Raw genomic sequence first — 12,977 nt, 5'->3', positions numbered from 1 at the left:
AAAACTGTGCAGGCCAAACAAAAAACACACCGTTGCAACCTCTGATACATATCGCATAGTGCTTTTTTCCCATCTCCTGTGATCCCCAGACAATCCTATAGGGCATATGCTATCATTAGTTTCATTTTACAGATGTCGAAACAAGTACAGAGCAAGCTAGTGGCTTGTGTGAGCACCAAGGTTGGAACTTGAATGAAGGCCTTCAAAACGCTTGTTTTTTCTCATTACCAATGCATGCTTGTAGAAATAACTTTTTTTAATCCCAGAGATAGTACACATTACAAAACATAATAAATTACAGAAAGGTAAAAAGAAAACGACCACAAGACCCAACATGCAAACAATAAGCACTACTTTATTTCTATTTTTATTTTTTTAGAGACAGGGTCTCACTATGTTGCCCAGGCTGGTCTCAAACTGTGGGTTTCAAGTAATCCTCCCACCTCAGCCTCCTAAGTCACTGGGATTACTGGCCTGAGCGACCATGCCCAGCTTATAAACATTATTAATTGCTGTATTTACTTCCGGAAATTTCTTTCCCCTATTCAACAAATGTTAAGCACTTACTATAGGTCAGCACCTGTGCGTGGCACTGGGCATGCTGCAGTGAACAAGACACTTTTTTTTTTTTGAGATGGAGTTTCGCTCTTGTTGCCCAGGCTGGAGTGCAATGGCGTGATCTTGACTCACTGCAACCTCTGCCTCCCGGGTTCGAGTGATTCTCCTGCCTCAGCCTCCCTAGTAGCTGGGATTACAGGCATGTACCACCACACCTGGCTAATTTTGTATTTTTAGTAGAGACAGGGTTTCTCCATGTTGGTCGGGCTGGTCTCAAACTCCCGACCTCAGGTGATCCGCCCGCCTTGGCCTCCCAAAGTGCTGGGATTACAGGCGTGAGCCACCGCGCCCGGCCAAGTCACATTTCTTGACCTCATAAGGCTTATAATCTAGTTCCTGTTCTGTGTTCTATTTCACTGGCGACCTAGGTGTTGATACCCAAAAGAGCTTCTTCAAGATCCCAAAGAGTAAATCAGATGATACTGCATTTCAGGTGGGTCCAAGACACCTGCCTACCCAGCCCTCAGTCCAATGCAGTCCCCAGAAACGAAATAAGAGGCCCAGATTCCTCGTGAAGGAGTTAAGAGGCAGAGAAGGATAGGGCTTGACAGTATCACCAAACTCTCACTTCAACTGGCAGGGGGCCTGGGTCTCAACCCTCCAGTCTTCAAGGAAAGGGGTCTGGAGGGGGCAAGTGGTACGTGGCGTCCAGGAAGATGACTAGGGTCCCAACGCTGGTGAAGATGATGAAAGTCCACAGGAAGAGGCGGTCCACTACCATGGCCACAAACTGCCAGTCCTCCTTCAGCTGTGGGTAGGCAAAGGAAACTTCCTGAGCTCTGGGCCCAGACCCCCAGGGAAACCCCCCCATTTCCCCGCCCGCTACCCGCTTGAGTCCTCCTACCACTGGTTTGAGGCAACAGCCGGCAGCGCCAACAGGAGAGCGAGACTGCAGGCAATGCATGGGCATAAAGAACCAGTAGGTAAGCAGGGGGTGGGACCAAATGAGGGAGAGGTCCAATCAGAAACGAAAGCGAGGCCGGGCGCGGTGGCTCACGCCTGTAATCCCAGCACTTTGGGAGGCCGAAGCGAGCGGATCACCTGAGGTCAGGAGTTTCAGACCAGCCTGGCCAACATGGTGAAGCCACGTCTCTACTAAAAATACAAAAATTAGCCAGGCGTGGTGGCGCGCCCCTGTCGTCCCAGCTACTCGGCAGGCTGAGGCAGGACAATCGCTTGAACCCGTAGGCGGAGGTTGCAGTGAGCCGAGATCGAGCCACTGCACTCCAGCCTGGGCGACAGAGCGAGACTCTGTCTCAAAAAAAAAAAAAAAAAAAAAAAGCCAAAAAAAAACCACACAAAAAAAACGAAAGCGAGTGCTGGTGCGGAATTTGGGGGTGGGGCCAAGGTCGCCTAGACCTGGCCTTGTTCCACCCCCGTTGGACATACCGCATCGTGGTCCTCCTGTTCCTGCAGCTGTCGAGCGATGTAGCTGATAGAGGAGACGACCTCCCGTAGCTCCGGAAGCAGGGCCACAGCCCGGTTTGGACCATCGATAAATCGCCGCAGATCAGGGGCAGACAGTTCAGGCTGGAACCTGGAAGAGGAGTGACTGGCCACGCCCAAACGCAAAGACAGCCAGTGCCGGCGACCCAGGCCCCGCTCCAGCTGCCTCCAACAACTTGCCAGTTCTCAAAACCCGAGAGCCCATCATGCTTTTCCCTCCAGCAGTGATCTCTCTAGCCTTGTGCAACTTCTTCCACCGCCTCTGTTTTAGTTCCCACCTCCCCTCAAAGTGAGCAGCAGGAGTACTACAACTCCCATGATGCTCAACCACAGCGTCTTCCGAGAGCATGGGCCGCTTCTTCCGCACACTCTTCTGGGAACTGTAGTTCTCCCTCTCCCTCTTATGTGGGTAACGGGCGTAGTCCTACCTATTGGGTTTGGGGAAGAGAAAATCACTTGGCGGCTTCCGGATGAAATATTCATCTGTTCCCCGACCCCAGCCACTTCCTGGAGAAGAACAGTGAGGGGGCTCCGGCATCAGGTCTCTCTCGGGTTTGGGCCTTTTTAGACGCAGGTACAGCGGAAGTTTGTGAATGAAGATCTGCAGAGTAGAAGAGGCGTATTGGTGGGGGCTTTCATGCTTTCAGACCAGAAGGGAAACAGCCAACCACCCCACTCCACATGCCCATTCCCGCGCGTGAGTATGTGCGTGCATATTCTTCCACAAACGAGCTACACAAGGAAATGCAGCCACACAGACCTAAGAGCTCTTTAGTGGGTTGGGCCTGTCGCGGTGGCTCACGCCTGTAATCGCAGCACTTTGGGAAGCCAAGGCAGGTGGATCACCTGAGGTCAGGAGTTCAAGACCAGCCTGGCCAACATGGTGAAACCCTCTCTCTACTAAAAATACAAAAATTAGCTGGGCGTGGTGGCGGGTGCCTGTAATCCCAGCTACTTGGGAGGCTCAGGCAGGAGAATCGCTGGAACCTGGGAGGTGAAGGTTGCAGTGAGCTGAGATTGTGCCATTGCACTCCAGCCTGGCCACAAGAACAAAACTCCATCTCAAAAAAAAAAAAAAAAAAAAAAAAAAGCTATTTAGTGGGTTGGGAGGTATCCCAACTGGAAAGAGAGGGCTTCCAATCTGATAGTACCTAACCCTAAGAATATTTCCCTGGGACCCGAGATGGGCAGTATTGATGAAGAGAGTATGGGATCTGTGAAATGATAATGATGGGGGCTAGCTTAACTGTGCAACATTTCAACACTCAACAAGCTTGGACACTTCAACACTCTGCCACATAGCTATAGTTCTCCCTATGGTCTGTAAAAGGAAAATTGGGGTTGGAGGAGGAGATCTTTCTTACCTGACGGACCCAAAGGGGCATTTGGTGGGTGTGGGGTGAGCGGTGGTGCAGGTTGAGAACCACGACACTAAGGATGACTGAGAAGGTGACGAGGACCATGGTAAACATGAGGTACTTGATAATAATGGGTACTGATAGTGAGGTCTCAGGTACTTTGTCAGCCAGCAGCAGCAGGAACACAGTAAGGGTCAGCAGGGCAAAGATTGAGAGCCCCATCTTCTCTCCTTGGAGGGCAGAGGGGAAGAGAGAAGGATTAGACTTGCCTGAAGGAAAGCTCTATGGCATAATCAGTGACCATGTTTCCAGGCCATTCAAAGACAGATTTCTACAGCCAGGCACAGTGGTTCACACCTGTAGTCCTGGCACTTTGGGAGGCCAAGGTGGGAGGATTGCTTGAGCCCAGGAGTTTCAGACCAGCCTGAGCAACATAGGGAGACCTCTTTTCTACAAAAACAAATTTGAGGCTGGGTCTTGCTCTGTCACCCAGGCTGGAGTGCAGTGGCATGATAATGGCTCATTGAAACCTCCACTTCCCAGGCTCAAGTGGTCTTCCCACCTCGGCCTCCTGAGTAGCTGGGACTACAGGTGCACGCCACCATGCCCAGCTAATTTTTGTACTTTTTGTAGAGACAGGATTTCACCATGTTACCCAGGCTGGTCTCAAACTCCTGAGCTCAAGTGATCCACCCACCTTGGCCTCCCAAACTGTTGGGATTACAGGCGTGAGCCACTTTGCCCAACCTCTACAAAAAGAAAAAAAAAAAAATTAGCCAGGCACAATGGCGCATGCTTGTGGTCCCAACTATTTGAGAGGCTGAGTTGGGAGGACTGCTTGAGTGTGGAAGATGGAGGCTGCAGTGAGCTGTGATGGCACCACTGCCTTCCAGCCTGAGCAACAGAGCAAAACTCCATCATAAAAAAAAAAAAAAAAAAAAAAAGACAGGCTTTTGGAAGGGCCATCTGCATGTAAATCATTCCTACATTTGTATGTCCACCCTGGACTTCTCCCCTGAATGCCAGATATATATCCATCTGCCTACTCAACCTCTCTTGGATAGTTGGATGTCTAATAAATATTTCAAGCTTAACATGTCCAAAACTGAGCCGGGTACAGTGGCTCACACCCGTAATCCCAGCACTTTGCGAGGCCGAGGCAGGCGAATCACCTGAGGTCAGGGGTTCGAGACCAGCCTGGCCAACATAGTGAAACCCCATCTCTACTAAAAATACAAAAAATTAGCTGGGCATGGTGGTGGGTGCCTGTAGTCCCAGCTACTAGGGAGGCTGAGGCAGGAGAATCACTCGAACCCAGGAGGCAGAGGTTGCAGTGAGTCGAGATCGTGCCATTGCACTCCAGCCTGGGCATCAAGAGCAAAACTCCATCTCAAAAAACAAAAGCAGAAACAAAATAAAACAAAATGTCCAAAACTAAATTATCTTACTACCAAAGCTACTCCTCTGATAGTCTTCCCTATCTCTTATGTATTTATTTATTTTTAGACAGACTCTCACTCTGTCACCCAGGCTGGAGTTTAGTGGCGTGATTGCAGCTCACTGCAACCTCTGCCTCTTGGGTTCAAGCAGTTCTCCTGTCTTAGCCTCCCGAGCAGCTGGGATTACAGGTGCATGGCACCACACTTGGCTAACTTTTTGTATTTTTAGTAGAGACAGGGTTTCACCATGTTGGCCAGGCTGGTCTTGAACTCCTGACCTTAAGGGATCTGCCCACCTTAGCCTCCCAAAGTGCTGGGATTACAGGCGTGAGCCACCACGCCTGGCCTATACCTACGTTTAATTGCATGCAGATTAAGCAACGGATTAGGCAGAAATTTCTAGGGAAAGGGCAGTAACTTCTGTGTCATCAGGTGATTGCCAAAGGGGTGGTAACTCCCAGGTGTTTCCATGGCAATGGTAAACTGACATGGCACACTCGTGAGTATGTCTTATGGAAAGCTGCATCTGCCCTGTTCCTGTTCTAGCTGGTCCTCAATTTGGTCTGGAGTCGAGTCCCACCTCCTACATCACCACCTTGCTCTAAAGCACATTACCTTAGGTCTGAATTATTGTAAAGCCCTCCTAACTGGTCTCTTTGCTCCATCCTTTTCTCCCATGCTGACTGTTCTCAACCGAGCAGCCAGACTGATTTTGTTAAAATATAAATCAAGCTGGGTGCGGTGGCTCATGCCTGTAATCCTAGCATTTTGGGAGGCTGAGGCGGTCAGATCACCTGAGGTCAGAAGTTCGAGACCAGCCTGGCCAACATAGCGAAACCCCATCTCTACTTAAATTACAAAAAATTTAGCTGGGCATCGTGGTGTGTGACTGGAATCCCAGCTACTCGGGAGGCTGAGGCAGAATAATCGCTTGAACCCGGGAGGCGGAGGTTGCAGTGAGCCAAGATCGTGCCACTGCACTCCAGCCTGGGTGACAGACAGGGACTGTATCTAAAAAAAAAAAAAAAAAGAAAAAGGAAAGAAAGAAATAGAATCAGATCATATTATTCCTCTTTCCAGAACCTTCCAGTGGCTCCCCCTCTCCTGCATGAAAGCAGGGGTTGAGGGGGCTTCCAGGGCTGGGGTGGCCCTCTAGGACAGCCTGGTGTGGGTGGCGGCGGGGCTGTGGCCTCAGTGGCCCTGACTGCTGAGCATGTAGCTGAGCTTGCTGGAGTGAGGACGTCCTTGGGTGGGGGCATGGAGGACGGGCCCTGGAAGCTGCTCCAGGCCCTGGAGGGCCCAAGATTAAACAGCACCTGGCAAGAGAACCTTGCATAGCTGTCTCCAGGTTGGACAGGTGGGGCTTCAGGCCTGGAGATAAGGGCACACCAGGCCATGGTGTCCTGGACCAGAGAGCCCTGGACACCTGGGCTGCACCTGGCAGAGCTGTGCATGTGGCCTTCCTGGGCTCTTGGTGGCCGAAAGACCAACGTTAAAAAACATAACAGGCTGGGCGGGGTGGCTTACACCTGTAATCCCAGCACTGTGGGAGGCCAAGGCGGGTGGATCATTTTAGGTCAGGAGTTTGAGACTAGCCTGGCCAACATGGAGAAATCCCATCTCTACTAAAAATAGAAAAATTACTCAGGCATGGTGGCTCATGTCTGTAATCCCGGCTACCGGGGAGGGAGGCTGAGGCAGGAGAATTGCTTGAACCTGGGAGGTGGAGGTTGCAGTGAGCCGAGATCGCGCCACTGCATGCCAGCCTGGGAGACAGAGCAAGACTCTGTCTCAAAAAAAAAAAAAAAAAAAAGAAAAGAAAAGAAAAGAAAAGAACCTGAAACATCCACCCAACACATGCCCCAGTGAAACTCACTTGCCTGTTCTAGCATGCCCAAGGCCATAGCAACTCAGACCAGAAGGCCAAGGGTGTTACTCAGCATCAGTGGTTCTGGGCCTTCCTGGGTCTAGAGTCCCTTTGAAACGCAGCTGGTTATGGTCTATAGGTCCTTCCCATGAGCTCCTTGACTTCATCTCCTACTGCTTTCCCCTCTGCTTACTTCATTCAGTTCTACTGGCCTCCTTTCTGTTTCTTGAGTACTCCTGACCTCAGGTGATCCACCAGCCCCAGCCTCCCAAAGTGCTGGGATTACAGGTGTGAGCCACCACGCCCAGCCTGCTTTCCTTCTTTAGACAAAGGATTTGATGGCAGAGAGGAGGAAAGCATGTTTTGAATACCAGAGCTAAGGATATCAGGTCTCTGAATCAGACTGCCACTGACCCAGGTTGGAATTGCAACACTGCCCCTCTCTAACTGTGTAATGATTTCAGGCAAATGACTTAAACTCCTTCAGCCTCTTTATCCTCCACTGTAAAATGAGAATGACAATTCGTTACTTACCTCACAGGATTGTTGTAAAGTTTAGAATTAGTACATGTACCATGTTAAATGAATTACCTTATAGCAAGTGTTCAAAAAAGAAAAACAAAAAACAACCCAAAACCCAGTGCTTACATAGAACTTACTGGGTGCCAGGCATAGTTCTATTAACTCTGTCAATCCTCAAAATAATTCTAGGCGGTAGGGACAATGGTTGGCCCACTTCCAGATCAGGAAACTGAGACACATAGGGATTAAGGAATTTGGCCAGGTGTGGTGGCTGATGCCTATAATCCTAGCACTTTGGGAGGCTGAGGCAGGTGGATCACTGAGGTCAGGAGTTCGAGACCAGCCTGGCCAACATAGTGAAACCCCATCTCTACTAAAACTACAAAAATTAGGCAGGCATGGTGGTGGGCACCTGTAATCCCAGCTACTCAGGAGGCTGAAGCAGGAGAATCGCTTGAACCCAGGAGGTGGAGGTTGCAGTGAGCCAAGATCATGCCACTGCATTCCAGCCTGGGCAACGGGGCAAAACTCTGTCTCGAAAAAAAAAAAAAGATTAAGGAATTTGCCAAAAGTTATCCTATTTTGCTGCCTCCTAAAGATATGTTGACTATTACTATTATTTATTTATTTATTTATTTATTTATTTATTTATTTATTTTTTGAGACAGAGTCTGTCTCCCAGGCTGGAGTTCAGTGGCACAATGTCGGCTCACTGCAAGCTCCGCCTCCCGGGTTCACGCCATTCTCCTGCCTCAGCCTCCCAAGTAGCTGGGACTACAGGCGCCCGCCACCACACCTGGCTAATTTTTTGTGTTTTTAGTAGACATAGAGTATCACCATGTTAGCCAGGATGGTCTCAATCTCCTGACCTCGTGATCCACCCACCTCGGCCTCCCAAAGTGCTGGGATTACAGGCGTGAGCCACCGCGCCCGGTGGCTATTACTATTATATATTTCCCAGGGAGATAGGAGGTTAAAGGACTAGTGGGGGCCGAGCGCGGTGGCTCATGCCTATAAGCCCAGTACGTTGGGAGGCTGAGGCGAACAGATCGCTTGAGTTCAGGAGTTGCAGACCAGGCTGGGCAACATGGTGAAACCCTTTCTCTACCAAAAATACAAAAAAATCAGCTGGGCATGATTGTGGGTGCTTGTGGTCTCAGTTACACAGGAGGCTGAGGTGGGAGGATTGTTTGAGCCCAAGAGTTTGAGGCTGTAGCAAGCCATGATCACACCACTGCACTCCAGCCTGGGCAAAAGAGCAAGACTCTGTCTCAAAAAAAAAAAAAAAAAAAAAAAGGTCGGGCCCTGTGGCTCACGACTGTAATCCCAGCACTTTGGGAGGCCGAGGCGGGCAGATCATGAGGTCAGGAGATCGAGACCATTCTGGCTAACACGGTGAAACTCCGTCTCTACTAAAAATACAAAAAATTAGCCGGGCGTGGTGGCGGGCACCTGTAGTCCCAGCTACTCGGGAGGCTGAGGCAGGAGAATGGCGTGAACCCGGGAGGCAGAGCTTGCAGTGAGCCGAGATTGCACCACTGCACTCCAGTCTGGGTGACAGAGTGAGACTCCATCTCAAAAAAAAAAAAAAAAATTAAAGGAGTAGTGGGAGTCTGAAAGTGGGCAGGGAATGTTGGGAAAGGGAATGGGAGAGCTATCTAAGCCTGGAGGTTTGTGGTTCAGAGGAGTAAAGGCTTTATGGATTAGAGGCTAGGACTCCTATTAGGAAAGAGTTCCAGTTTCACTGAGCGGAGGAAAGGTGGCAGTCAACGGGAGGCAGAGCCTGGGCGGGATTGCTGAAGCCCAATCTATGATGCTTTGGATTGGCAGGAAAACCCTGCCTGGATTAAGGATAAAGAGTAAGAAGCTGAGCCAATGACAAAAGAGTAAGGAGCCCCTTCCCCCATTACCTGCATCTGGTGGCAGGTAGAAGACGAAGATGGCCAGAAGAGTGATGAGGATGCATGGGGCAATGACGTTGACCAGGTAGAAGAGAGGCTTGCGGCGGATGATGAGGTAGAAGATGACTTCCTGGCGCTGTCCTTCCCTCCCTCCCCTAGGATCGCCTGGAGGCTGGATTAGCCGAGAGGGCTTGTGGATAATCTCCCACTGGCCATTCTCTGGGGATGAGCAGAAGGAGGGGAACACAGATGTGAGAGCTGTCCTGGTTAGTGCCAGGTATGGCTTGCTCTGCCACAGCCTAGACCTGAGAGGGCTGACTTGATGAAACTAGCTGTGAAAACTGGGCTGAGTAGCCCATCTCTAATAAACTTGGGCAAGTCTCAATTTCCATATTTTTATTTATTTATTTTGAGACAGAGTTTTGCTCTTGTTGCCCAGGTTGGAGTGCAGTGGCGTGATCTCGGCTCACTGCAACCTCCGCCTCCCAGGTTCAAGTGATTCTCCTGCCTCAGCCTCCCAAGTAGCTGGGATTACAGGTGTCCACCACCACACCTGGCTAATTTTTTGTATTTTTAGTAGAGACGGGGTTTCACCATGTTGGCCAGGGTGGTCTCGAACTCCTGACCTCAGGTGATTTGCCCGCCTCCACCTCCCAAAATACTGAGATTAAGTCGTGAGCCACTGCGCCAGGCCCTTTTTTTTTTTTTTTTTTTTTTTTTTTTGAGACGAACTTTCACTCTGTTACCGAAGCTGGAGTGCAGTGGCGCCATCTCGGCTCACCGCAACCTCCACCTCCCAGGTTCAAGCGATTCTCCTGCCTCAACCTCCCAAGTAGCTGGGATTACAGGCATCTGCCACCATGACTGGCTAATTTTTTGCATTTTTAGTAGAGACGGGGTTTCACCACGTTAGGCTGGTCACGAACTCCAGACCTCAAATGATCCGCCCGCCTCGGCTTCCCAAAGTACTGGGATTGCAGGCATGAACCACTGCCCCCGGCAATTTCCATACTTTTAAAATGTAGATAGCCATACCCATCCTGCTGACCCCACAGGGCTATATTGGGCATCACTGACAGTATATTTATGAGTCTGTTAGAAGCTGGAAATGATAGAGCCCATGGATGTAGGAGCCATGCCTACTCACCAATGAAAGTCCCTTCATGAATGTGGATTTCCTGATGCCCTTGCCCGTCAGGACCCAGGCCTGTCTGCAGGCTGACCTCCGAGCTGTCGTAGCTGTAGGAGCTGAACACCATAGTGCAATTCTGCCAGTCGAAGGGGAAGTAGGTGACCTGGATGGAGGAGAGAGTCACTAGAGCTGCCAGAGAACCAGTCAGCGCTGGTGGAGTTTGGGAGGTCTTTGGGGAGGGCACAGAGAAGGGAAATCATGGAGGAATTGGAGGGTTATGAAGGGAAGCCATTAATGGGGGAGGGATGGGGAGGGCGGTCACTGAGTAAGACTAGAAGTCAAAGAAAGTGTACAGAACACTCAATGGAAAACCAGGAGGGTAGACGAGGTGAGGGTCATGGGGATTAGATAATGGGGGAAGGATGAAGGATGGGAGTCGCCGGGGAGTCAGGATGTCTAAGGAAAGGGAGGATTTGTAAGAGCTCCTTCAGCTTCCAATGTGGAGGCCGGAAACCTGGATGCTGCAGCTGCTGCGATAGATGCCCGGGGGTTGCCAACGCACGGAGCCGTCGGAGGACACCACGACGCTAATGTCCAGAGCCACGTCAAAATTCCCATCATTGCTGCAGAGAAGGGATCTCATCAGGGATCAGGCCCCGCGCCCGGAGGCCCCCCGCCCCCCGAGGCCCCGCGCCACCTCCCGGGCTTTGGAAGTTCTCCTACTTGTTCAGTAGCACCACGTCAGGGAGCCACACGGATTCCGCCGTGATGCGGAGCGAATCGATGCCGTCGTGCTCCGCAGGGTCCCAGCTCAGCCTGTAGTCAGTCCACTCCTAGTGAAGCAGAGGCTGAGGGGCTGCCCCGGGTTGGAGGCCGGGAGGGACTTGGGATTTCCAAAGGAAGCCCAGGAAGGGAGTGCAAGGAAGGGGAGCAGGACAGGCATAAACTGTGGGTCAAGGGGCCGTGGTTCTGGCTCTGGCTCCGCCTTCACTCGCTGGGATCCACATCAGCTAATTTCCCTCCCCCGCACCGGGTTTCAATATTTTACTCTGTAAAAATGAGGAGGCTGCAGTAGCTAGCCTCTAAAACGGTTTTCAAACTGCAGTTCGCAATCCTTTAGTGGATGGGGAATGAAATTAGCGGCCCCAAACCAGTGTTTCAAAAATTAGAATGGGCCAGGTGCAGTGGCTCACGGCTGTAATCTCAGCACTTGTGGAGGTTCCCCCCGAGGCTGGTGGATGGCTCGAGCCCCCGCATTCAAGAACAGCCTGTGCAACATAGTGAGACCGCATCACACACACACACACACACACACACACACACACACACACACACACAGACACACACACACACACACACACAAAATTGGAATTAAAAATGCATGGGGTGTAACTCCTGTAGTAAAGTTAAGTGTTGTTTCTTCGAGCTTTTGCTTCAGTTATAAACGTGTTATCTAAAGTCATGATGTAAAAAATATTCTTACTGGGCTGGATATTCAAGGAAATTGTCAAGGCAGAGGGAAGCCCTTTCCCACCCCGTGGGGTCTCCATACCAGGTCTAAGTACACCTTTGTGCTCATCTCTTCATCCTTCTCGTTCTAGAAGGGAAAAATTTAAGGCGTAAAGGTGAAGTAGGGTGGAGAGAAATGAGGGGGCTCGGGGGGCCAACCTCTCTCCTGGGAACGCCGCCCCCTTTTTCTGAGCCCCATCCTCTCGGGTCCAAGTCCACCTCCCAGAAGCGGCGTTAGTTTAAGACCTGCCTCTATCTCAGAAACACCTCTTCCTGCCGTCTACACTCCCAGCCTATCAACCTACCAGACCCGCCCCTGCCTAGCCCTCCGCCTAGCTCTGTCCCCGGCCCTGCCTTCAGCTCATAATCCACCCAGCCCCGAACCTCCACCCGCTGCCATTTATTGACCCCTGAGCACCAAGCTCCGCCCCACCCTGGGCACTCAGGACTCATGTGGCCCTACGTCGAGGTCCGTCCCCCAGCCCCTGCCTCGTCCCCAGCCCCACTTTAAGGTCCGATCACAGGTCCGTCCTTCACCCTACCCAGTTCTACTCCAGGCCCGTCCACCACCCACGGCCAGAGCTTGTCCATTGGTCTGATTTCGATCCAATCTTCACCAAAGGCTGGTCCATCTCAGCCTGGTCTCGTCCCAGGCCCCGCCCCCAGCCTGTCCCTGGTCCGGCCTTGCCTAAAGCCACGCCCCCGGCCGGTCGGCTGGCCTGACCTCCACCCCCCGCGCGCCCTCACCAGGCTGATGAGTTGCGCCAGGATGAGACCAACGCTGACCCTGACACGGTCTCCCACCTCCCGCGCTGGCCGCACGGAGCTATCATAGCCAGAGAAAAGTTTCTCCCGGAGTCGACCCTCCGCCTCCGAGCCGCGGACGCCTGGGGGAGGAGAGAATAAGTGCAGCCCTGGTGCCTGGCCACGACCGCTGGCCCCGTCACTGCCCCTTCGGGGCCTACACTTACCTGGGGCGAGCGGCGCCCCCAGCGCCCCCAGCAGCATCAGCAGAGCCCCTGGGGTCATAGCCTGGCGGCTCGCTCAGTGACTTCGCTCAGAGAGCCGCTGGGACCGCCAGCACAGGGGAAGTGACGAGGAGCCCGGGAATGTGCACCTGTTGCTGGAGGACAGCCGCCAGCCCACCCGCCCCGCCCCCGGGACTTGATCCTGCCTCGAGCAACT

The 12,977-nt window shown here is 51.9% G+C and overlaps 1 protein-coding gene across 1 annotated transcript, besides 4 other annotated features; it reads right to left on the bottom strand.

The window, feature by feature from the left end:
* CHRNB1 (cholinergic receptor nicotinic beta 1 subunit) lies at window positions 239–12,888 on the bottom strand. The gene is made up of 11 exons (NM_000747.3): window positions 12,764–12,888; window positions 12,540–12,679; window positions 11,836–11,880; window positions 11,007–11,116; window positions 10,798–10,906; window positions 10,299–10,446; window positions 9,161–9,370; window positions 3,429–3,652; window positions 2,493–2,665; window positions 2,008–2,155; window positions 239–1,366 (listed from the first exon to the last, which is right to left on the bottom strand). Exons 1-11 carry the CDS (start codon window positions 12,819–12,821, stop codon window positions 1,226–1,228), a joined length of 1,506 nt encoding a protein of 501 aa, NP_000738.2. The 5' UTR covers window positions 12,822–12,888; the 3' UTR covers window positions 239–1,225.
* Window positions 1,757–2,258: an enhancer, noted in NCBI's record as "H3K4me1 hESC enhancer chr17:7359010-7359511 (GRCh37/hg19 assembly coordinates)". NCBI's record gives its function as "activates a minimal SCP1, AML or CMV promoter by ChIP-STARR-seq in naive H9 embryonic stem cells {active_cell/tissue: H9 hESC(naive)}" and the evidence as "EXISTENCE:reporter gene assay evidence [ECO:0000049][PMID:30033119]".
* Window positions 1,910–2,069: an enhancer, noted in NCBI's record as "active region_11622". NCBI's record gives its function as "activates an Ori minimal core promoter by ATAC-STARR-seq in GM12878 lymphoblastoid cells {active_cell/tissue: GM12878}" and the evidence as "EXISTENCE:reporter gene assay evidence [ECO:0000049][PMID:35858748]".
* Window positions 2,150–2,229: an enhancer, noted in NCBI's record as "active region_11621". NCBI's record gives its function as "activates an Ori minimal core promoter by ATAC-STARR-seq in GM12878 lymphoblastoid cells {active_cell/tissue: GM12878}" and the evidence as "EXISTENCE:reporter gene assay evidence [ECO:0000049][PMID:35858748]".
* Window positions 12,767–12,816: a silencer, noted in NCBI's record as "silent region_8121". NCBI's record gives its function as "represses an Ori minimal core promoter by ATAC-STARR-seq in GM12878 lymphoblastoid cells {active_cell/tissue: GM12878}" and the evidence as "EXISTENCE:reporter gene assay evidence [ECO:0000049][PMID:35858748]".

The sequence above is a fragment of the Homo sapiens genome, chromosome 17 (genome assembly GCF_000001405.40).
Source record: "Homo sapiens chromosome 17, GRCh38.p14 Primary Assembly".
Classification (NCBI taxonomy): domain Eukaryota; kingdom Metazoa; phylum Chordata; class Mammalia; order Primates; family Hominidae; genus Homo; species Homo sapiens.
The sequence above is the reverse complement of the archived record's forward strand: the minus strand, read 5'-3'. Positions and strand labels throughout refer to the sequence as shown.

Coding starts and splice junctions, on each gene's coding strand:
- CHRNB1 (NM_000747.3), bottom strand. CDS start 12,821: ATGACCCCAGGGGCTCTGCTGATGCTGCTGGGGGCGCTGGGGGCGCCG. Junction 10,447..10,797: donor GCAGCAGCTGCAGCATCCAG/GTTTCCGGCCTC, acceptor TCCTCCATCCAG/GTCACCTACTTCCCCTTCGA. Junction 2,666..3,428: donor TGCCCCTTTGGGTCCGTCAG/GTAAGAAAGATC, acceptor TCTACTCTGCAG/ATCTTCATTCACAAACTTCC.